Source organism: Homo sapiens, chromosome 6 (genome assembly GCF_000001405.40).
Source record: "Homo sapiens chromosome 6, GRCh38.p14 Primary Assembly".
NCBI lineage: Eukaryota > Metazoa > Chordata > Mammalia > Primates > Hominidae > Homo > Homo sapiens.
In genome coordinates, this window is record NC_000006.12 from 161,647,648 (window position 1) to 161,672,338 (window position 24,691).

Below are 24,691 nucleotides of genomic sequence, written 5' to 3' on the forward strand. Positions count from 1 at the left end.
TACAAACATGCTCAAAATCCCATTGAGAAAAACATATTAGTCATCTAAATGAAGAAGTTTGCTAATGTTCTAAATCTTTCTATCCTGGGATATAATTTTGTTTTATTGAGTTTCTTCAGTGTTAAGCATATTGTGTCACAGAAGTGCTTTTAGCATTAGGAAAAGAATCATGTTTTAATTTTAATCCTTTCAGATAATTTATTAAAACAAAATAAGAGCATGCAAAGAGCCCAGTTAAAGTGAGCAATAAAGGCCTAGATATTTTCGTGCTTCTGAGAAATTTAGTACGGTATGAGATTTGCTGGAATAAAATCAATAGAATTGGTTTTATGGCTATAGCATTGCTATTTCATCTCTTTGTTTACTTGGGCATTTATTACTGGTGCATGATGCACAGAATGGGTAGAAATGCTGAAATGTGGTCTTTTGGCTCTCTTCCAGCCAGGGATTATTCAGGTGGAGACAAAACAAGCTTGCTTCTCCAGTAAAAGATCTGATAGCCTTGAGATGCCCAAGGACAGTGGCCAGAAGTAATTGTAGTTTTGCCTTATTATTTTTTTAAACTCACACAGATATGGATTGTACAGAAATGCATTTTCATATTCTGAAAGTGTAATAAAAGCCTCAAAGTCAACAGCTCAGTAGTATGTAGACAAAGCTTTGATCCATAAGGGAGGTCTTACTGAGTATATATCCCTTCTGCCCATTATCCCAGTATATAAGCCATCAATAGATCGGGGGCAAGGGTGTGTGTCCATCAGAGTTTAATGAAACAGTAGGGAGGAGAACAAACACCTAGGCTCATGTTTATAGGGGCCAGGGATAGTCTGTGGACTTTCCTGCAACTGTCCATGGAGCCAGCCCTATAGTTCTTAATTGCCAATGTGGATTCTCATAAAATTAAACAGTATTATTCTGTCTTCACTATTAAGAGTAGCCATAGTAAATCACCTCCTCTCCAGTTTTCTGTTTTAACTGTGAGGTGTAGTTCATTCTCTGGATAGGGATGGCTTCTGTTTGCCTTTGTAATTCGTTGCAGAAAACCTATTATTTGCATTTCAAGCTTAGGTTCAGGTGTCTGCAGTAGATCAACAGCATAATTCTTTGTACTAAACTTAAGCATTCAAGCCCAGTCTAGAACACATTTCACAGAATGTCACAGTGTCCTAGAGCCAAAAACACAGCCATAGAGTCAACCATGAACTTGGAAAATCCTCCAGAGTATGCAGAGCTATCAAGGGCAACGTCTCTTAGGAATAAAGCAATTAATTCAGAAATTAAATTTTCTACTTTACTCTTTCTGCAAGACCTTAGTCACATATATGACTTTCTTCAGGGATCCTTAAAACTATATTAGCCATCTGTGAGTTTGCAAGTAGCTAAATACACCACCTGTAATTATTAGTTTAATTATTATAACATAGTATCCTCACAAAGCATTGCTACATTTGTCAAATGTGCTGAAATCAGTTCTAACCAGAGAAAGTGTTGAAAAGACAGTGAGACAATTCTTCTCAAAATTGGAGGAACATAAAAGAGGCCCAGCTGACTCACATCAGTACATTTGCATGACTGACCCCCTCTCTCATATGGTCTCCTTATGGTGAGCGCCGTTCACAATGCACCCTCCTGGCCTCTTGCTTGCCTTAGGGCTGAGTGCACCTGTGCTGAGAACCAGGGCCATTCAACTCATTATTGTCATGATGCAACAGTGAAGAAGTACTTGAAACAGTAAGGATGCTTCTCTGGCTTAAAGAAAATATTGAGGGATTAATGGTGTTGATTGCTTCTCTGTTTGCAACATGACTGTATATAAAATAAAAGAAGTACGTGTTTGATTTTACCCAATGGCTGACAAGCATTTGGGACATACTTCTTAAGCTGTTTATATAAACCAGGTTCAGAATGGTTTAGAGACGTAGTTCATGGACCTATTTCCTATGAAAAGGACATAAGAGACTTTTGTGTTTTATTTCTCACCTTCTGAAGTAATATATTTCAAGGCTTTTAATCAGAAAGAATGAATTAAATGACTAAAATGCCAGACCCAAAGTATGGCCAACTGTATCTTCCAAAGATGGCTGTCACATATTTATCATTTGAATGTTCTTCTCACAATGTCAGGTTGACACTCCGCCACTGAGTGGTAGGGACAATGTTGTCTCTCCCCAAGCTCAGGCAGAACACTGTGAGTGTCTCAACCAACAGGGTACAGTGACACTATGTGACTTTGAAGGCTAAGGTCATAAACATGTCATGCACTTCCACCTTGTTTCCTTGACAGGACCCAACTTGGAAGTCAGCCACCATGTTGTGAGGAAGCCCAAGCCACATGGAAGGGTCGCTGCAGGTGTGCCAGCCCAGAGTCTCAGCTGAGGCCTCAGAAGACAGCCAACATCTACTGTGATGACGCCCAGATCATACCAGTCCCCAGAGGTCAAGTTATCTCAACCTACAGGTCGTTCCAGATGATAACCCAGTAATTTTGCAACAAAGGCAAGCCAGCTCCTATGTTCTGCTTATATGCCTGACCCACAGAGTCCACGAGCATAATGCAATATTTGTTTATGTCAGCTGTGGTATAGTTTTTTACTAACTTTTCTTTATGAGTTTGTACAGGGAGAGAGAATTAAGAGACTCAGATGCCAGACCCTAAAGATAAGGTGCTTTGTTACGATAAGGAATTCTCTTTCCAGACATTTATAATTTAAGGTATGTTGATGTATTTAGTGCCTAAATGTCTTAGCATGGTATTTCCTTGTGTTTTATACAGTTTGTCTTTCTCTACTCCCCAGCACTACAACGAACATATGTACAAACTTGTGTCACCAGAAATTGTAAGTGACATCTGCAAAGAGAGAGATTGAGAGAAAGAGAAAGAGAGAGAGAGAGAAGACAAACAGAGACAGGGAGAGAGAGGCAGAGAGAAATGGAGACCGAGAGAGATTGATTTATCCTGTAAACATCCACATCACTTTACTTAACCTCTTTTGGTACTCGGCCTTTCAATTTTGTAATACGGCCAATGAGGAATTTCGGCAAATCTCATATCTAGGAGACCTAGGAGCTTGTGAAGTCCTTGTCCATCAGTGGCTGTGCATTCACTGGCTCCTGGCATGGTGTCTGGTCTTGAGTGTAGACAGTCAGCCTTGGAGAATGTTTACTAAATGCACAGTGAAGGGAGCATGTGCATCTCACCTTCCTGGCTACCTTAGTTCTCATGATATCCTCAGAGGAGCTCTTTCTAATAATGGTTATTTGTCATTTCCAAGGGTGTGCTACATTTTGCATTTATTTAACATCCTGAAATTGTTACATAATACGTTTATTATATTATAATCTCCTTTGTGTCTCTGGTAATATGCACTTTTGTTAAATTTTCATATGTATCATTGCTTTATCTAATAGATCACATTTAGGACAAGCAATGGATTAAGACTGCCTTATCAGGGAAATCTAATGCTTGTCTTTAAGAAGAGAGGTTTAGCTTCAATTAAGACATATACATCTAAGATTTATCACTGCAAGTAGATACTTAATGTCTGTGTTTGGAATGTACTAATTAGGTTCCAATTAGCAGGGTCAAAATATGTAAATCAAAAGCACTTCATCCCCTTTGGTGTCTCTTTCTCTCCCATAACTAATTATCTGTACTCTTCTTGGTCCCAGCAAACACCACGGACCATGTCTTTAAGTCTCTAATATGGTTTCTTCAAGTATGGGCCAGGTGCTGTCAACCTGTATGTTCCTCCTGAATAAGTCCCTGAGGGTGGGAGCAGAGGGTCTGCATTTTACCAAGAAGACCAAGTAATCTCACTGGAAAATATAGCTTGAGAAATACTATTCTTTAGCCACTTAGGCATTTTCACTATGATATCTTTAGGGTTTATCTGATGGATACTTACCAAGTGTTTCTCATCTCTCCAGGGGCTGTGAGTAGCATAAGAAAGCCTAACCCACCGCCCTATCCTGGAAGTGTGGTCAGGTTATTAAGGTATTGCAGATGACAATCATCATACAGGGCAGCTTTTTCAGTGACTCAAAGAAAACCCTTAGTATTCCATAAGCTGATATACCTTTTAAAGTTCATTTCTAAACTAAACATTGCAAAAAGTTTCTTGTCAAAAGAGATTTCAGATGTCTCTATATACTGTTTCTTGTATAAATCACACACCCTTACCAAGAGCCCTGAGCTGGGACCCACAAATGGAAATCAAAGGTAATGTGTTCCTCCATTATATAATAGGAATTTCATAAAACCCATACAACAGTCATCTGTGTTATACAGAAAAACATTCATCACTGAGCATTTGAACATTTTGATGTTTCTGAAGTACAGAATTCATGACACTCTGCAAGTTTTTCCAACCAATTTACAAATTATTTTCATCCCTCATCTTATTATCCTACCTAGTGTCAACTTGTTCTTTCGGCATAATCAATCTGAATGACTGGTAAGGTTTCATAGTGCAGCACTTTAGTTTATGCAGACATCTGCCCAAAAGCATCTCAATCACTCATAGCAAGAAACAGGGGCAGCATTAGCCATGAGGAAATGCTGTTTTGTTACACATGTATATCTAAAGACAGGGCTATTTGTATAAAAGAAAGTCAGGGTAGTGATAGACAGAACTAATGTATCAATGTCAGCAGAAAATGCAAGTCAAGGTATGGCAGCAAAAATCAGCCTCACAGGGTACCTGGAACACCATTAATTTAAATTTAAAGCCCTTGTGGGGAAACGGATATGATATAATCACTAAATTATCATTCATAAATGAAGGTCTATCAAGTAGACTATAGTATTATATTTATATAAGAAAATCTTTTCACCTTGCATTCACACATAGGGGTTTATGTTGCTTTAAGTATTTTTCTAGTTTTATCATTACATTCTTAAACTACAGTCCAATGTGTAGCGATAAGGGATTACTGACATTTATAGTAAGTTATTTGTTCTTATTATTCTAAAACAATAGATAATTTTGATATAGAAATTAAGAAATAACTTATGTATGTAGATATAAAGAAGTAAAACATGATATATGATTCTAATGGAGAAGATAATGTGATACTCTCTAGCTATTTATGTGACTTTGGAAATTACTTATTGCATGCTAGAATACAACCAAACCAGCTATTAAAAGTTAAGAGGAGGTGGCAAAGCAGAAAATACTTTAAAGGAAACTTCCAAAGAGCCCCAGGTGATGTAAAGTTATAAAAGCTGAATTTGCTTTTAATACCAATTCAACATAGTTTTTCAAACTGACGAAAAGTACCTAGATGGCATTAAACCCAAACATAAAATCTGTCTGCAATTAACCATAAATCCTTCACTATCCCGTACACATCTTGCTTCATCGGAATCAATGTTGACTTATCATGAGCAATACCTCTGATTCTTTAGAAGTATGTGCTACATAAGATACAAATTGGCTGGGCGCGGTGGCTTATGCCTGTAATCCCAGCACTTTGGGAGGCCGAGGTGGGTGGATCACAAGGTCAAAGATCGAGACCATCCTGGCCAACATGGTGAAACCCCGTCTCTATTAAAAATACAAAAAAAAATAGCTGGGCGTGGTGGCGCATGCCTGTAGTCCCAGCTACTCAGCAGGCTGAGGCAGGAGAATTGCTTGAACCCAGGAGGCGGAGGTTGCAGTGAGCCGAGATCACGCCACTGCACTCCAGCCTGGCAACAGAGTGAGACTGAATCTTCTCAAAAACAACAACAAAACAACAACAAAGATGCAAATCAACAGTGCTGCATGAAGAAGTACTCACCCAGACCCTGGCTGGGTACTCATGGCATGCTCCCTCATTGAAAACCGCCATCATCAGTATTAGCCTCTCCACCTCACACACATCATAAAATGCTCCCAGTAAATATCATCCGGGTGCGTGCCATGAATTTCATGTAGTTCCCTCTAGGAACTTTGTTCCACTAACTGCAACATTCTCTCTAGCCATTTAGGAATAACTAGTTCATACTTCCCACTGTCTGTCCTCCACCACAGAATAGAGAAGTACATCGTATATATACTATAAATACTTCATTTGGTGATTAAGGTCTGATGTATCTGTTGTATATTGTGGGTCTTTATAGATTTTCTTTTGTTAGGAGAGCACATTTAAGGGTAAGATTCCAAAGATTGGAAACATTACTGGACTGAAGATTCTTTGATGTAACTGTGAAGACTCCTAAGAGGAAAATTCTGCTTGTAAACTGGCCGGCCAGCCTTCAGGGAAACATGTCACAGGAGCACGCTGGGGTCACATTGCCTAGCACAAAACAGAACTCTATTAAACATTTGGGATCTGATAGTCTCTAATGTTATTTAGATAACTGAATAAAATGCATTTTTTTTTTAAAGATGGGGATCTTGCCATGTTGTTGAGGCTGGTCTCGACTCTTGGCCACAAGTGATCCTCTGGCCTCAGCCTCCTGAGTAGCTAGGAGCGCAGGTGTGAGCCACCGCACTTGGCTCTAAAAGGCATTTTTAAAAATGAAGGTGAAAACAATTAAAAAAAAGTCGAGTCAATAAAAATTTAGCCAATTTTCACATCCAGAGAATCATTTTTTATAAACTTAATTATGTTATTTTCCTTTTGCATTTGGATTGGCCCTACCTGAAAATGTATACATCATTTGGTTTATGCTTACCCGTGTGGCTACTGTGAAAGATATCAAATCATGTACCCCGGAAGCCCTTCATTTATTATGGCTCCAGGGCAAAGGGGAGCAAAGGCCACTTCCGGGAGGACGCACTGATGACACAGCAAAGTCTCCAGCAGCCATGAAGAAGCCTGGCCCCTGCAATGCCGAGAGGGAGGAGGATAGAAGACGATCAAGGAAGGGCCAGGGGCTTGGACCCAGATCCCTTTCTTGGTCTCCTTTCTGGTCTGTCAGTCTGGAAGGTGGCAGTTTCTTAGAAAACTTCTAACATCTAAGGTTTAGGAAATCCCAGGGCAGTGGGGCTTTTAAAAATTGCTTCGGATGCAGACAAAGAAACCTCAGGCCTACTGTGTGCACCTCCCACGTGTGTATCTACGTAGGATGTAGAGAAGACAAAGGGACACAGTGAGCATGGTGGTGGCGAAAGGTCACCTGTCTCCCACGGAGGCATGGCTTCCCATGGAGAGAAGGAGGCCAGCAAAGGCCACAGGGGCATAACCAGCTTACCACGCCCCCTGGGAGGGACCCTTTCAGAAGAGACAAGGGTGGATGGCCCACTCTAGGAGTGCAGCCTTGCCCAGATCCTGGAAGACAGGGTGGTGTGACTATGGTGTGCCACTCAGCTCCAAAGGAACAAGGGTAGAAGCTCTGGTCTGAGAGCTGACAGGGTGAGGACAGCTGCAGTCAGAGCCAGACGAGGTGTCAGCATGGGCCCAGTCCCTCATCACCACCAAGGTGCACCGTCACAGAGGCATTCCTGGGCCCACCCAGGCTCTCAGCGTCATTAGCATGGGCCTGGCCCCTCATCACCAGCAAGGTGCCCAGTTACAGAGGCATTCCTGGGCCCACCCAGGCTCTCAGCATCATTAGCATGGGCCTGGCCCCTCATCACCAGCAAGGTGCCCAGTTACAGAGGCATTCCTGGGCCCACCCATGCTCTCAGCGTCATTAGCATGGGCCTGGCCCCTCATCACCACCAAGGTGCACTGTCACAGAGGCATTCCTGGGCCCACCCAGGCTCTCACCGTCATTAGCATGGGCCTGGCCCCTCATCACCAGCAAGGTACCCAGTTACAGAGGCGTTCCTGGGCCCACCCAGGCTCTCACCACCATTGGCACGGGCCTGGCCCCTCATCACCACCAAGGTGCACTGTCACAGAGGCGTTCCTGGGCCCACCCAGCCTCTCACCTCCGTCAGCACATGGAAGAAGAGAACAGGGAAGAGACCCCTCTGCAGACAGTCCACTCCATCTGGGGCTAAGCTTTGCCAAACCGAGAGAGAAAGGCTTTAAACTGTGAACAATGTCCACAATAACGACAATACTGGAATCAACTGGATACTGTCAAAAAGAGTCTAGGTTTTAAACCAGAAGTAGCTAAAAAATGATTACACTGATTTTACTAGGTTGGACTAAATTTAGTTCTCCTGCTGCTGAGAGAAATTGGCAGCTTGTCAAAGAAAAGTTACAGAAAATAAAATGAGTTGACACATGTTGATTATTGATTTCCAGTTCAAACTCACCACACAGGCATATCAACACACATGCACACACACACACACACATACACACACACACACACACACACACACACACACGGTCATATGCATAAATATTTCAGTCACATTCTTTGATTCACGTGTATGGTATAAATCAGAAAGCAACTGAGCATCTTCCTGGCTGCTTCCAGAATAAACCACGTTTGTTACAGCTTTCTAGTCTGGGGAGACAGCCGAGGTAGCCCGCTGCCTCCAAAAGCTGACTGTGGCAGCTCGGGTAACTTTGGAGCTTGTTTTCTCCACTTCAGAATATTAACTTGCGGGAAGATGACATTCTGAAAGAAGACCTGTTCTCCAAACCATTCGGTCAAGGAGCGAAATCCTCAGCGATGGGCGTGCAGACTGAAAGTCAGCGCTCGGGCCCCTGCTGCATCTTTGAGTTGCTTCAGGAGCCTCCCACCTGACTGCTCTGCCATCCATCCGCGCCTCTCACACTTCTGTTCCTCCCCGTCTTAGGCCCCAGTGTTGCATGTCCTTGGACTGATGTCCTGATAGGCTTCACTGGCTTTGATTTTCCACCCGCCTCCAGAACACAGCATTAGGGGTTCTGCTACCAGTCTTCCTAAGCTAACCCCACAGGACAGGGGCACTCTCTGCAGCACCCCCCACTGCTCTGAGCTGTTGGAGTTGGGAGGAGGCCTGCAGAGACCTTCCAGGGACTCTGAGATGCCGTGGAACATGCCTACTGGTTCCTAAATCCAATGAAACGTTTCAGTCCTTTAACCAGCATCTCAACGAGGATGATTCCAAATCTCTGTCTCTAGCCCCAACTTTTCATTTGAATTCCAGATCCTGATGAGGGGCACAGAGGCCTTCTCTGAACTTGATCAAGTAGCTCCCACCCTTGGCCCCTTGGTCACTCTCAACCACAGTGTCCTAATTTATCTTCTCCAAAATACTCACCAGCATCTAAAATTATCTTATTGATTTGTTCTCATGTTTATTGTATATCCCCCTACCTCTTCCCAAATTCACCAGACAGGTGACGTGATATTCTAAGGAAATCATATAATACTGCTTTAGGGTCAAATAAAACACACGAATGTCAACGAAGACGGGGACTCGTAAGTTGTGTGTTTCTGACCCTAGAATGGTACTTGGCGCCAACAGATTCTCCAAAAAATATTTGGTTACTGACTCACCAATCTGTATCACAGAAGTCAACTTGACACTTCCACCTGGACATCTCTCAGACACTAAAAATTCAGTCCAAAATTGAGTGCACAACAGTTCTTTATTATCATTCTGTCTAATCATAAGCCAAGGGCACTACTCTCTGTTCAGTTCCAAATCCAGACACCCGAGAATCACCTTAACTCTTCGTTCTCTTTGACCCCCACATCTCAGCTTGTCCCAGTGACCTCACGGCTCTGGATCGCCCATGCCGCCACTTCTCATGTAGATTTCTGGGACAGTCTTCTCTCTGGCTGGCTTCCTATTAGGCCCTTTTAGACATAATTAGTTTTTTAAAGGCGAATATGAATAAGATGCTCTTTTATTTCAAATCTCCTCAGTGGCTTGCCACTGCTCCTAGGATCCTGCTCCACATCTCTGGAAGAGCATTCAAGACCCTGTGTGAGTGGCCTCTCCACCCGCACCCACAGGCTGGCCTTTCCTGATGCTCTAGCTTTTCATTAGTAATTTTTTAAAAATCCTGCAAACACCTGTCTTATTTTCCTAAGGAGATGGAACTCACTTCCAAAACATTCAACGTTGCAACAACCAAATTGCTAACAGTCCACCAGTTTAAGGGCTGAGAATATGAACTCTGCTTCTGTTTCTTGACACAGCCTCACTCGACATTAAAAATAAATTGGTTCCCCATCTAGATCAACTTGAAACATGAATTAAAAACGAGTATACTAGGCTGGGCACGGTGGCTCACACTTGTAATCCCAGCACTTTGGGAGGCCGTGGTGGGTGAATCACTTTAGGCCAGGAGTTGGAGACGGGCATGGCCAATATGGTGAAACCTTGTCTCTACTAAAAATACAAAAAAAATTAGCTGGCATGGTGGCAGGTGCCCACTCGGGAGGCTGAGGCAGGAGAATCGCTGGAACCCGGGAGGAGGAGGTTGCAGTGAGTGAAGATTGCCCCATTGCACTCCAGCCTGATCAACAGACTGAGACTCTGTCTCAAAAAAAAAAAAAAAAAAAGAAAAGAAAAGAAAAAAACGGTGTGCCAGTTGAAACTACTCACATTTTAAAAGGATGTCACACAAATTTCAGCCACATTGTAGAGTTTTCTTATTTCCATTTACCTTGCATGATAAGCTCCACCAACAAAAAGCAACAGAATTTACTATGGCATGTATATATTAAATTGTATTTTTTTTTCAGAAATGCAATTTCTTTCTGAGATTACTTTAATCAAAAGAATAATTGCATTATTCATGAGCCATGCTCCGTTAATTGGAAGTGTTGGTCAATTATTACATGAGATCGCATCACCTTTCAATAAAGAGAAAAGAGTTCTCTTGTGCTGGTCTTTCAACCACAATTACCCCCTCTCAGTCCAGTGACTTATAACACAGCAGCAAAGTTAATCATTTAAAACTAGAAATCATCTTTGAAAAGTCAACCAGTGGAAACATGTTTCTAACAACAATAACAGCGGGAGAGTGTACTTTAGAGGAATTCATAAGTGCCTCTGCAACAGGATCTGGATAAAGGTCATATTTTTAATTACTATGGGTACAAATTTTACAAATCACATGCTGTCTTTACCGGTACAAAAAATTTATCAGAGGTGGAGCTTGGGGACATGCGAAATAATAGGGCTTTGAGTAGTTCCTCCAACTTTACAAATATTTCATCCTTAAGAAGCAGACATTTAAAAAAATTCACTGAGGAAGGGAATGCGATATTCTATGATACTCACAGCATACTGTTTAGGGATCAAATAGAAGAAGTAAATATTCAACAGCAAGGAGCTGTTATTACAATGGGCTTGATTTTTAACCCCTTATGTTGTCCAGGTCCTGCACATTAAAAGTTCTATGTGTGACAATTCATTGTTTTATTCATTAATTCTGTCTGTCTAGAAGATTCTGAACCTGCTTCAGAGGGCATAGAATAAGAAACTGAGGACGAGAGGAGGCCCAGTGCTGAGTCCCTGGAACTCATGTTGTGCTGAGCACAGCGACTACCATTTAGTACATGTTTAACTGCCCCATAACTGCTGGTCTCTCCATTGTCCTTGACTGTGACTGCCTGACAAATCTATGTTCTGTGCTTCAGCTATGCTGAGCACCACATTCTCAGTTAGGTATAGAAGATGTGGTTTATATAGCACTTCTTACAGTGCCTCTAAGTCAGTGACACTTAGTATTCCAGGGCATTGAGATGTAAATGTATCCTGGGCACATAGAGCATATACGCTGTGTCACAATTGTTCAAAATTAATTATATATAATTCTTTTCTTAATATAGGAGTCCAGTGGCTACCTCTTTGAGGACTCATTTGAGCCTTGCACAGTGTAGATGACACTAAAAATGCATGATATGTTGAATTTCACACACATGTTTAAGCAGGCCTGGTGATGGTACAGTGGTTGAGACTGTCCTATTTGTCTATGTTGGCATGAGATTGAAGCACAGAGCTTTCTGGAAGGCTAGTTCACTGCTGAGGATACAGAGCAGTGCTAAGTGTGGGGCAGATAAGGCCAGGGGCTATGGGCTGGGCATAAGGATGGACAGGGCGGGACTCTCACTGGGAAGGGGCTATGGGAAGGTGCTTGGTGTCACTCGAGGGACTGGGAGGAAGGCTGACACAAAAGCAGGTGGGCAACGGCCCTGGAGGACATGGTCTCCAGGTCGGGTTTTGGAGTCAGACAGGCCTGAGGTCAGATCTCGGCTTGTCGTCACTGGCTGTGTGATCTTGGCAAGTTATGAATGGTCTTTCTAAGCCCCTGGGTATCTGCAGAAGGAGGCGGTGACTCAGGACTGCTTACTATCCACACTTATTCAGGTTCTACATGTGGATAATGAGATGCTTGATACTGAGTCTGGACAGAGATGTGTTATCTAAATCCCATTCATTACCGAGTTCATACAGTCAGAGTTCAGGTAGGGAGGGGTACTGGTTATAATAACTCTTCTTAGAGTTGCTGCAACAATTAAATGAGATGATGTATCCGAATGGCAGCAGCTGGGACTTACTAAGGTCTCAAAAAGCATTGTGACTGCTGTTGCTACTACTACTACTACTACAACTATTACTATAATGATTAGAACTATTAGTCTGCTATACAACTATCACAGATAATATTACTTAATTAGAAGGGTAGCGGATGGAGGCCATGGCTCTGCTTGAATGAAGTGGTTTGACCTTGATTCACGTAGTACGCATTGCTGAGCTGAAGCAGGAGAATCACAGAATTATAGCAGTGCTCTGAAAGCCTGGTATGGCTGCAGGACTCAGATGAGCCAGATGGTCAAAGTGGAAGAGTTGGTAAATCAAGGTTATTGCAATAACTCAGTTAGTACTAATAAGGGCCAGGGATGAATACGGTAGTTACGAAACTTGAAAGGACAGGCACAATTCTAAAAACCATTCAAAGGAAAAAACAGGGATGGAATAAAAACTAAAAGGTCATTTCTGTGAAGATCAAAGACACACAGCTGAAGATTCACAAGGAAAAAATGGTGAGCTGGCAAGAGAGATGATGAGCATGGCCCATTCCTTAGAAAGGAGTCTGATTGTGAACAAAAGAAAAAACCAGACGTGAACAGCGGCAGTGGCCTCACCTCTCTGAGCTGCCTTCCCATGTCCTGGGCCGCTCTTTCCCCTTTGCTGTCTGGTCCTCCTCTCACAAGTCTGGACTCTGTTGCTGCAGGCTCAGGTTTAGACCCTGCCTTTGCTCTGCGCACATGTCCTTCCCGATCTCATCCATTCTTCTTGCCTTTAAAGACCACCTATTTGATGATGATGGCACGTCCTGACTCAGTTTGAACATCCCATTGGATGCTGAATCTCAAACTATTGATTTTTACCCAAAACCTGCTCCTCCCACTGCCCTCCCTATCTCAGTAAGTGGACACCCAGTCTTCCGTGACTCAGGCCGAGTCCCACGGTGCCATCTTTCACTCTGCTGCCTGTCTCATGCCAGTATCTAACCCACATACCTCTCGTATGTGCAGAGACTGGTGGCTTCTCACTGACCTCAGCACGCCCACTGCTGGTGGAAACCTCCATCATCTCTGATCTGGGTTAGCACAAGAGACTTCTGTGTCATCATCTTCACTCCAGCTACAGAATTCTCCCAGCATGGTAGCCCCTAAAGTAAGGTCTGACTTTCTGCTTAGAACTCTTCAATCCTTTCTCATCTTATCCTAAAGAAAAGTGGAGACCCTCACGGAGTCTGACAGGGCCCTCTGAACACAGGGCCCTGCTACTTCTCTGCACCCACCTTGCTCTTCTCCACACTCACTGGGCCCTGGCAGGTTACATCCACTGCTGTCTACTCAACCACACAGGAGCCATCTCAGGGCCTGTGTGTCTGCAGCTCCATCTGCCTGGAACTCCCCTCCCAGATATCTGTGTGGCTGCCCATCCCAGTTCCTTTGGATCTATCTTCAGATATCATGTACCACAGAGGCCTTCCCTGACCACCTCCTAGACCGCAGGAACTCCCTTCCCCACCACTACCTGCCCCAGCCTCTGTCACCTGCTTCCATTTTTTTTTTTTCTGTAGCAAGTGCTGTCTCATTTCTGTATATTTGCTTATTAATTTCTTGTCCATTTTCACTACCAAAGTACAGGTTCTGTGAAGGCAGAGGTGTTGTACTGTATACAGCCACATCATCAACATCTAGAACAGTGCCTGAAAGATACGTATTGAATAAATGTGTGGTACAAGTACGCTGGGCACAGTGGCTCCCACGTGTAATCACAGCACTTTGGGAGGCCGACGTGGGAGGATCACCTGAGGTCAGGAGTTTAAGACCAGCCTGGCCAATATGGTGAAACCCCGTCTCTACTAAAAATACAAAAATTAGCCGGGTGTGGTGGTGGGCACCTGGAATCCCAGCTACTCGGGAGGCTGAGGCAGGTGGGTCATTTGAACTCAGGAGGCAGAGGTTGCAGTGAGCCAAGATTGCACCACTGCACTCCAGCCTGGGCAACAGAGCGAGACTCTGTCTCAAACAAACAAACAAAAAAACCATGTAGTACAAGTAAATACTTAAAAAAAATAAGTATCCCATTCTGTATGGAAAGATGAGGAATGAGCTGCACAGAGGGAAAGTTCGTAACGTGAATGTTGGCTCAAAAAAAATTCTTCAGTAAGCCATCAGGGGTGGAATAAAAAGCTTTAAAAAGTGCACGTAGAGGGGGTTCTAAGAGGAATGTGCTATTTTGCGATGAGATTTAGCCTGACTGCACTCTGCCTGTGCTGACCTGGATGCAGACAGTCGCTGCCTCCACCGAGGAGGGCGTGCATCTCTTCACCCACTCGGCTGAACTTCAGCAGCTTCCACAGTGACAGGAACGGATGGGAGAATGGACTTTGTTGTTTCGAGGGATGGTGGTGGTGGTGGTATTTTTATTTGCTCATTTATCTTGGAAGTATCGAGTGGTAGACAGTGGCACATGGCAGTGGCAGGTGCAGCAGCCTCCAGGGAGTTAAATCCTAGCCCTGCCACTGGACTTCTGACTTTGGCTAAGGGTTGCCTGGTGAATGGCAGACAGTGGCACGTGGCAGTGGCAAGTGCAGCAGCTTCTGGGGAGTGAAATCCTAGCTCTGCCACCAGACCTCCAACTTTAGCAAAGTCTCTGACCACTTTGTGTCTTTGTTTCCTTCTCTGTAATATGAGAATATGAATGTGGGTTCCTAACCTGTATCTGAAACCCAAGGTTTCAGAGCTTTTCAGATTTTAGGAAGGTAATACAGAGTACAGGCTGTATTTTATGGAGCACCCACAGCAGGGTCTAATCGAACACATGAGGATATCTGTGGTGAAATACATGAACATTCATACCTAGTGGGATAAATCGAGGATATTGATATGGTTTGGATGTGTCCCCACCCAAATTTCATCTTGAATTGTAGCTCCCATAATCCCCACATGTCGTGGAAGAAATCCGGTAGGAGGTAAGTGAATCATAGGGGTGGGTTTTTCCCGTGCTGTTGTCATGATAATGAATAAGTCTCACAAGAGCTGATGGTTTTATAAAGGGGAGTTCCCCTGAACATGCTCTCTCTCTTGCCTGCCGCCATGGAAGATGTGACTTTGCTCCTCCTTTGCCTTCTGCCAGGAATGTGAGGCTTCCCAGTCACGTGGAACTGTGAGTCCATTATGCCTCTTTTTCTTTATAAATTACCCAATCTCAGGTATGTCTTTATTAGCAGCATGAGAATAGACTAATACATGTGGCGGTGGCAAGTGCAGCAGCCTCTGGGGAGTGAAATCCTAGCTCTGACACCGGACCTTCGACTTTGGCGAAGTCTCTGACCACTCTGTGTCTTTGTTTCCTTCCCTGTAATATGAGAATATGAATGTGGGTTCCTAACTCGTATCTGAAATCTGAGGTTCCAGAACTTTTCAGATTTTAGGAAGGTAATACAGAGTACAGGCCATATTTTATGTAGACCCACAGCAGGGTCTAATCGAACACATGGATACAACTGTGGTGAAATATATGAATATTCATACTTAGTGGGATAAATCAAGGATATAAACAGCCTCACTGCAGTTCATGCCAGGATTTGCCACCAAGAGTGCATGTCAGGCAAGTTTTGTCTCCAGATGAGTCAGAAATATTAGACTTTATCTGTCAGGTTAATGTATTTAACAACTTGGACTTTTTATTAAACTGCAAAGGATTTCACTTTATGTATGATTTTAATAACAATATTTGGCCTAAGTTAAACTCTTTCCTTCTCCCTCCATTCTTCCCTTGCCTCCTTCTTTCCTATGATTCTCTAAGCTCCCAACAGCCGGCCCTGTGGTGAGAGGGTGGCTGGTGGACCACGAGGAGCAGCCGCCGGGAGAGAGGCTGGGATGCTGCACATGGGGGAGTGGCTTGGGTTGGCTTTGGCTCCGCCCCTAGCTGGCCCCAGAATCAACAGAACCCTGAGGTCAAAACAGTGCTCCCGGGAGCTCCGCTAATGCAGCTTCTCTCTGGGGCCCGCTTCCACACTGATCTTGCCCCTAAACCCCTTTGATTTATCAATTCTGGCCCCATTTCTGGTAAGTCACTCCCTGGGAGGCAAGCTTCTCCAATGCATGGAAGTCAGGAGCTTATGGAGGAGAAGTGACCTGGGTCCCTTACATGCCAGGTTATGTAAAGCAACCCCAAATATCCAGCTGTGAGGAGTCCGCCAGAAATGCCAACAGACGAGCACTTTTCAGGGAAAAATAGAGACACAGCTCCCTCTCACGGTTTAAATGTATTGGGTAGAGATGAGCACAGCAAAAGAAATAGAGGGTCTTCCTGTTACGGGAAAGGGGTGTACAAATGGCACTTAAGTCAAGGATGTTCAATTTGTTCTCACTGTCAACATAGGGTAAAGTGGTTCTGTTCAGCTTTCTAAATGGCCAGGCTATTGGCTGAGTACAGCCTATCTGTTCGAGTAACTGTCACTTTATTTATAGTTACGGCAACTTCTTAGAACCGGTATCCTTTAAAATACAGCCTAATACTAGAGCCAGATGGGAAAAAATCCTAGGGTAAAATATTAAATTGTGACTAGTCATTTAATAGAACAAAGTTATTCATGACAGCTTATATATGTCAAAGCCTATATGCTGGCTTGTCTATAAACTGGCAGATGGATTTTTTTCCAAATACTGAGAAGAATTTCAGTCTGGATTTTAAAACGAGTAAGTTATTTCAAAACAAAACTGACCAATAAAAGAACTGATAAAAATTTGTTTAAGCTTATTTTATTAAAAACAACAACTGACTTTTTCTTTTTTTTTTTTTGAGACAGAGTCTTGCTCTGTCACCCAGGCTGGAGTGTAGTGGTGCGATCTCAGCTCACTACAAACTCCAGCTCCCAGGTTCAAGCGATTCTTCTGCCTCAGCCTCCCGAGTAGCTGGGATTACAGGTGTGCACCAGCACACCTGGCTAATTTTGTAATTGTAGTAGAGATGGGGTTTCACCATATTGGCCAGGCTGGTCTCGAACTCCTGACCTCGTGATCCACCCATCTTGGCCTCCCAAAGTGTTGGGATTACAGGCGTAAGCCACCACGCCTGGCCCAACAACTGACTTTAAAACTCAAAAGGCTTTATTTAAATTATACTAGTAAAAAAACCAATGAACATTCTTATTTATCTTCTAAACCATGGGAATATTTAAATAATTTTATATTTTATTATTTAATATAGATTTAGTATTATGTTCCTAAATCTGGGATATGGCTATTTTTTTCTGTTGAAAAACCAAAAAAGGCCAACTCTATATGTGGCCAGTATACAGGTAACTGAGGCTGACATAGAAGAGAGTTACATGTATCCACCAAACAAACTCAACCTATGAAGATCTTAAACATTTTTTTTCTGTTGATTTTCTTGAGTTTTCATGACTATTGCATAATGGTAGATTTATACTATTTCCATGTGGATGACAGGAGATAATGTCCAACATCTTCTACCCCTACAAATCAGATCTGAAATTTCTTTATGATTTCTTAATACTATCATCGAGCATTCAGGTAGGCTCCATGCCGGAAATTTAGACTCTTCTTTACTGCTTCTTCCTTGCTCCCATCTTCTAATAGGTCACCCAACCTTGTTCATTCTACATCAAAATCTCCTTTGGAAGTTGGTTCACTCACCCTACATTAGTATCAAACATTTTAGGTCAAGGTGGCAATTCTGACTTCCAGTAGTGATTTTTAAACTCAATAATGACAACAATAACAAAACACGTCATCGGCCTTTTCTTCATATTAAGTCTTATATGAACGCCCATTGTGTGAAACGCTGAACTGACAGCCTCCCCTTTACCCTCTCAGCAGCCCCAAGGCATCCTCACCACTGATGCGGAATATTAGGGCCCTCTGTCTTGTCTTTTCCAACAGCCTGGATGTCTACCCACTCCAGCCCATGCCCAGCATGGACATCAGAGTCTGCTCCTGCCTCCTGGCTCAGGTTCCTGGGGGCAGCGTGTGGAGCTGAGAAGACTGCATCGCCTGGATTCCATCCCAGCTGGGCGGCTTACTAGCCCATCACACCTGGGCAGTCCCGTGAGCCTCTTCTATCCTGTTTCTTCATCACTAAGATCGAGAATAAATTACAATATCTATTTTGGGGCATCCTCAGACAAACCCACTACAGGGCAGGGGGTCCCCAACCTCCCGAGCCATGGACCAGTACCTGTCCGTAGCCTGTTAGGAACCAGGCCGCACAGCCAGAGGTGAGTGGGTGAGCGAGAATTATCACCCGAGCTCCACCTCTTGTCAGATCAGTGGTGGCATTACCTTCTCATAGGAGCATGAACCTTATCGTGAACTACACATGCATGGGATGTAAGTTGTGTGCTCCTTATGAGGATCTAACTAATGCCTGATGATCTGAGGTGGAACAGTTTCATCTGCAACCACTCCACTCACCCTGTTTGTGGAAAAATTTTCTTCCACGGAAACTGGTCCCTGGTGCCAAAAAGGTTAGGGACCACTGCCATAGGACCTTTGGTTCTTCCAACACTCACACATAGCTGCCCCTCACCACTACTTATTGATTTTAAGTAAGAAAAAAGCCAGTGAGTCATTGCAACAAATAAAAACTACATGCAAGGCAAATTTACTACAAAATGTCTGACTTTCCCAGAAATTATGGTTGCTTTTTAAAACATATTTTATTAAAGAAAAGGAAAAAATAAAAACCTCTGCCCCTCACTGTCCTGAATGATATAAGACTATCTGATTGGATACTAGTATAAGTCTGATGTTGCTGCCTGGAAGAAAGCAGTGAGAGGCGTCAGAACACTCCAGCACACTTTGGAATGGCCAGGGAGTTTTGCTGGCAGACACTCAGCAGAAGATGCCTTACACTCCCTACCTCACCAGTCCCCACAGTAGGCGGTGGACCTTCATGTAATGGGAGACTCACACCTTCTGTGCAAGAGCCAGGCACATGGGTAACTCCAGGCTTTACCCCATGCTGCATTTATGAGAAGAAATAAGACAATGAATGAGCCTGTTAGGCCAGTGTCTGTCTTCTATGATTAACACAGCCAAGGAAAGTCTGGCCCACACAGAAAGAGCAGCCCTGCAGAAACACTAGTCCCCCTGAGCTTTGTGCTTCAGCTTTTCCAAACCCAACTCAATCCACCATATAGAAAACTCAGCAGGAGTTTTAGCCGTCATCATTATTACCCTGGATCTCACACCACTACAGGATAAACTCCACAGTTCCTAGCATGACTACAAGGCCCTCCACCCTGCAGCCCCCACCTTCTGCTAGACTTTCTTGCTGGTCCATTGCTGACAGGCAGCTGTGCTCTGGCCTCAGGGACTCCATCCCTGGCCCCTTCCTAGAGCATCCCCTGATGCACATCTGTGGATCCTGCAAGCTTCGCATGGCCAGGCTTATCCCCACTCTTTCCTTCTCCAGCCCACAGGTCAATCTCCTGCGATGCTTTCTCCACCCCTTCACGCAGAGTTTATTTTCTTCTCTAAACTACCAGAATCTTTTGTTAATATCCTTGTTAGAGGGTTTATTGGGTGCTCTCATAATTACAGCCAACTATAAACTCCTAGAGGTCAAGAGCTGGTTTTATCATTCTTCGTATCTCTAGTATCTTCCCTAGTCCCTGATAGATGCTACATAATCAATAACTATGTGTTGACCAAATAGATGATTAAGTCAGCATTATGTTTTAAATTTTATTTAAGTTCACAAAAAGACAACATATTATGACACAAAACTGTTAATAGTTCCTTAAATCCAGGCAGTGAAATTACAGGTAATTCTTATTATAATATTTAAACTTTTCTTCATTTCCTAAATTTCATAACACAGCAATAATCATAGAAAATAAAAGAGTGAGAAAAACCTGGGAGGGTTTATTTATTTAACATTTCAGATAATCAAACAATGTTAAGTACTAATATTAGTGTTGGCCTCTCCTGCTAAATATTATGGGAACTTACCATTGCTTACATGAATGTATGGATTAGTGCAATAAAAATTACATTGGAATTCTCTAGATCTTGATGTATGTTTTCTTAATTTATTCTGACCTAATTCATTAGCTTAAGTGGTTCATACATTTCACAGCTATAAGTCTTGTTCGCTCATCTGGGAATAAATCTGGTAGTATATGCTGACACTTACTAAAATGTAACAATATGATTCTATTTTTCTGTTAGAGACCTTTAGCCCAGAAAAAACTCCCATTAAAAAAAAAAAGAAGAAACAGGTTTTTCATATAAAGAAAAAAAAAAAAAGGCTTCAGTACAATTGGCATCTTGAATGTCATGGCCAAAAACTAGAGTTCCATGAAACTGGGTACAGATCTCATTATGAGCATAAAAACAACACACGCTCTTAAATACAATGCAAAATTTCCTGCTGATTAAAAATACAAACAACAATGAACAAAGCATAATATGAGTACAGGAAAAACCCATCTATGGATTCTATGCTTTAGTTATGTAACATTTTCACATTAGGGCAGGTTCTAATGTTGATCACCATCATGACCAGAAAGAGTTGCACCAACATGAACAAGAGGTCCCTAAGATATTAAGCTCCATTAATTCTTCTCTGTGTAGGCAGTTAGGGTCGGACAAGTACAGGAGGGATGGACTTATTATAATGAGGCCTGGGATGGTTTCTTTTATAATAGTCTATATTGTGCAGAAAAAAATACATTATACTTACAAATATTTGGCACATAGTAGATGGATAATCAATATTAACTAATTAACAATCCTATGGCGCAGGAAGATTTTTCATAAGCATGTTGTGGTGACAGTGACTTCTCACATGAGGCCAGCTGTCTATCTCACCCACATCCTGTGACCTGCTTCTACCCCACTGGTTCTACCCCACTGACCTTCTTCTACCCCACTGTGACTAAGGCACTCCTCTCCACATGCTATATGGTCTGCATGTTTGTGACCCTCCAAAATTCATGTTAAAACCTAATTTCCATTATGGGGATGTTAAGAAGTGGGCCTTTGGGAGATGATTAGGCCACGAGGGTGGAGTGTGGAGCCCTCATCAATGGGATTAGTGCCCTTATAGAAGAGGCCTGAGAGAGCTCATCTGCCACTTTCACTATGGGAAGTCACAGCAAAAAGACACAATCCTTTACAAACAAGGAAGTGGGCCCTCATCCTACACCAAATCTGCCAGCGTCTTGATCTTGGACTTCCCAGCACCTTCCCAGCACCCAGAACTGTGAGAAATAGATGTTGTTGTTTGTAAGATACTGAGTTTATTAAGTTTTATTATAGCAGCCTGAAGGGACCAAGACACCATCTTCACAGTGACCGCCTCCAGCTACTTTAATCATGGGACAGCTTCCTCCTCCCCATCCAATTTGCACACAGGGGTCAGCCCCAGTCAGTGCCTCCCCTGCAGCCACAGCAATGTTTGGCTGGGCTTGGAACACCACCTGCTAAAAAATGACCATCCCTTGGGTTTCACTGTGAAATCTTATTAATGTCAGCATTGTATGTTTCCGATGTTCCAATGTAATGGAAGCAAAATTCACTAAGGATTGTTCTTCAAGGGTCAGCATGCCCAATATGTAACCTGTCTTACCACACAGAGAGACAGGTTCATTTACGTCTCTTTAAAAATGGTTCTTCTGCTTCAACCACTAGGGATTCTCAACTCCCAGAAGAAAGTGAAGGACTGATCATGCTTTTATCTGCTGCAGTGTTGGTAACAACAGCTGACTGTGGGATGATCACTGTTTCTACATGTGGTGTGAGGAGCCTCCATCTATTAACTCATATCATCTGGATGCAGTGATGTCATTAGTCCCGTTTCACCATCCAGGTAACTGAAGTCACAGAGCTGGAAAGCAGCAGCAGTGGGGGTCACGTGAGCCCAGCCTGCAGCGCACAGGCTCTCAGCCCCCAGCATGCTGCCCCTTTGCAGAACGGGCCCTGAGAAATGGGAAGCTTTTGGTTTTCAAGAGTCTCTGGATCTCAGTCTGGCATCCAGTGACATAGGAATGTGTGTTAGAGATGACTGAAGATCTGAGAGACATAAGCGATGTGGCAGAAGTATTTCACAATTTTGACCTCATAACTTCTTTTCTGTTTTGAAGCCCTGGGTGTTGGCAGGTATAGAACAATAGAGTGGCTTCAAAGAAGTGACTCTCCGGGTACTATCCTCTGTGCGCTTCCCAGAGCCCAGCTGTGTTCAAGCCAGGACTTTAGGAGAGGAGGTAGGAGATAATGAAGGGACGTGATTAGCTTTGTGGGACAGCCACAAACTGGGTGGCTAGAAACAACAGAAACGCATCCTCTCGCAGTTCTGGAGCGGGTGTTGGTGGAGCTGCTTCCTTCTGGAGGCTCTGAGGGCAAATCTGTTCCACCTTCTCTTGTGGTTTCGGGTGGCTGCCAACAACCCTTGGCATTCCTTGGTGTGTGGACTCATCATTCCGATCTCTGCCTCTGTATGCATGTGAGTCTCCTCTCTGTGTCTTTGTGTCCCTTCTCTTCTTATAAAATACACCAGTCAAGCTGGGCGCAGTGGCTCACGCCTGTAATCCCAGCACTTTGGGAGGCCGAGGCGGGTGGATCATGAGGTCAGGAGATCGAGACCATCCTGGCTAACATAGTGAAACCCCGTCTCTACTAAAAAATACAAAAAATTAGCCGGGCGTGGTGGCGGGTGCCTGTTGTCCCAGCTACTCGGGAGGCTGAGGCAGGAGAATGGCATGAACCCGGGAGGCAGAGCTTGCAGTGAGCTGAAATAATGCCACTGCACTCCAGCCTAGCAACAGAGCGAGACTCTGTCTCAAAAACAAACAAACAAACAAACAAAACCCACCAGTCACATTGAATTTTGACCCACCAAATCCAGTATGACCTTATCTTACCCTGATTACACCTGCACAGACTCTATTTCCAAATAAAGGCACATTCATGGGTGTTGGGGATTAGCACTTCAACATTATCTTTTTGGGGGACATAATTCGACCCATAACAGGAAATGAAGTGTTTTTTCGTGTGTTTTCTTCATGTTTGTTTTTTTCCCTCAAGCACTAAAAAATAATGCAATTTGGCTCCTGACAACATGAATCTAAAATCTAATTCTGTGAGCAGGACTCTCTGAGCCCGGGCGCAGATGGGATACCTGCATGGGGAGGGGCTTGTGTCTTGCTCTCAGAAACATAATAAACCAAGAGATTCTGCTGCATTTTCAACACATCTCTAAGAATAGGCAGCAGTGCACCTCCTTCTTAGTGTTGGCAGTGAGGCTGACGTGACAGTCTGAATGGTACATGCGTCCCAGGAACCTCATGTCATGGTAACAGAGGCTACAGCACCTCACACTGAAATAAGACGGGCTCAGACCCCCCACTGCAACCGGCTGCATTGTCACCTTCTGGGGTACACATCCGCGGCATGGAGCTTCTTTATTCTGTTATCATCCAGGCTATGAGTCGGAGTATTCAACATTTTAATGCTCCATATATCAATAAATTAAGTGTGATGCTGGATGGATGTGACATTTTCAATATTCCACAGTATGACTGACGGGCTACCGTAGTTCCTCCCCTGTTTGTAATTTGAGTAATCTGGATGGGGGACATGAACTGGCCGGCCAATAAAAGTGAAGACTAGTGGAAAGAGCAAAGTCATAAAGCAAGCATGGTCCTTCAGAGACTGTATTAAAAGATTATCGTTTTGTATATCATTGTTTTTTCTTTCCAGAGCATGTAATCATAAACTGAAAAGAGAAGAGACAAAATGTAATGTTGACCAGAATAAACAACGCTGTGTTCATCACTTAATGTTATTACCCAGTCCCTTGGTTGTCTTGTCCTCTGTTTGTTATCATTTTCGAGGGTTTTATTCTAGACACATTTTTTGGTCTCAGTCAGATTTAGTACAGACTAATATAAAGTTCTGCTGCTCCACAGTGGTAGCCGACGCTTCTGGAAACTGCAGTGAAATCTCATGAACTCGATAGAGTTCACTCTTGCTTGGAGCGGTCCACACACTTCCTTTGTTTAAGCAGCAATGATATGTCATGCCAAGCTGAGTTCAACTTTCTTGGTAACTCTTGAAGACAAATCAACCACACTAATAAATTATTCGACCTGCAGGTTATATGAGTAACAATGGACCACCCTAAACTCTAGGCAGCACAGTCTGATTTCCAACAAAAGACAGGAGATGCAGATAACGTGTAGATACTAAATGTATAAATTGTATTGTAATTCTGATAGGAAAATAAAACCCCAAACCCTGAACACCATTAATTCACCATATGTCAACTTAAAAAAATGTGAATGCTAGATAATAAAACTTTATGCC

The 24,691-nt window shown here is 43.3% G+C and overlaps 1 protein-coding gene across 6 annotated transcripts in view, besides 2 other annotated features; it reads right to left on the bottom strand.

The window, feature by feature from the left end:
• The window catches only part of PRKN (parkin RBR E3 ubiquitin protein ligase), a 1,380,350-nt gene that overhangs the window by 300,231 nt on the left and 1,055,428 nt on the right, over positions 1-24,691 (bottom strand). The gene's annotated exons all lie outside the window — the stretch shown is intronic.
• Positions 5,629-5,922: a silencer, noted in NCBI's record as "fragment chr6:162074308-162074601 (GRCh37/hg19 assembly coordinates)". NCBI's record gives its function as "represses an EF-1alpha promoter that drives an FKBP-Casp9 reporter gene in an ReSE screen in HepG2 liver carcinoma cells {active_cell/tissue: HepG2}" and the evidence as "EXISTENCE:reporter gene assay evidence [ECO:0000049][PMID:32094911]".
• Positions 6,138-7,337: an enhancer, noted in NCBI's record as "MED14-independent group 3 enhancer chr6:162074817-162076016 (GRCh37/hg19 assembly coordinates)". NCBI's record gives its function as "activates an origin of replication core promoter dependent on BRD2, BRD4, P300/CBP and CDK7 cofactors, and independent of MED14, by STARR-seq in HCT116 cells {active_cell/tissue: HCT116}" and the evidence as "EXISTENCE:reporter gene assay evidence [ECO:0000049][PMID:35650434]".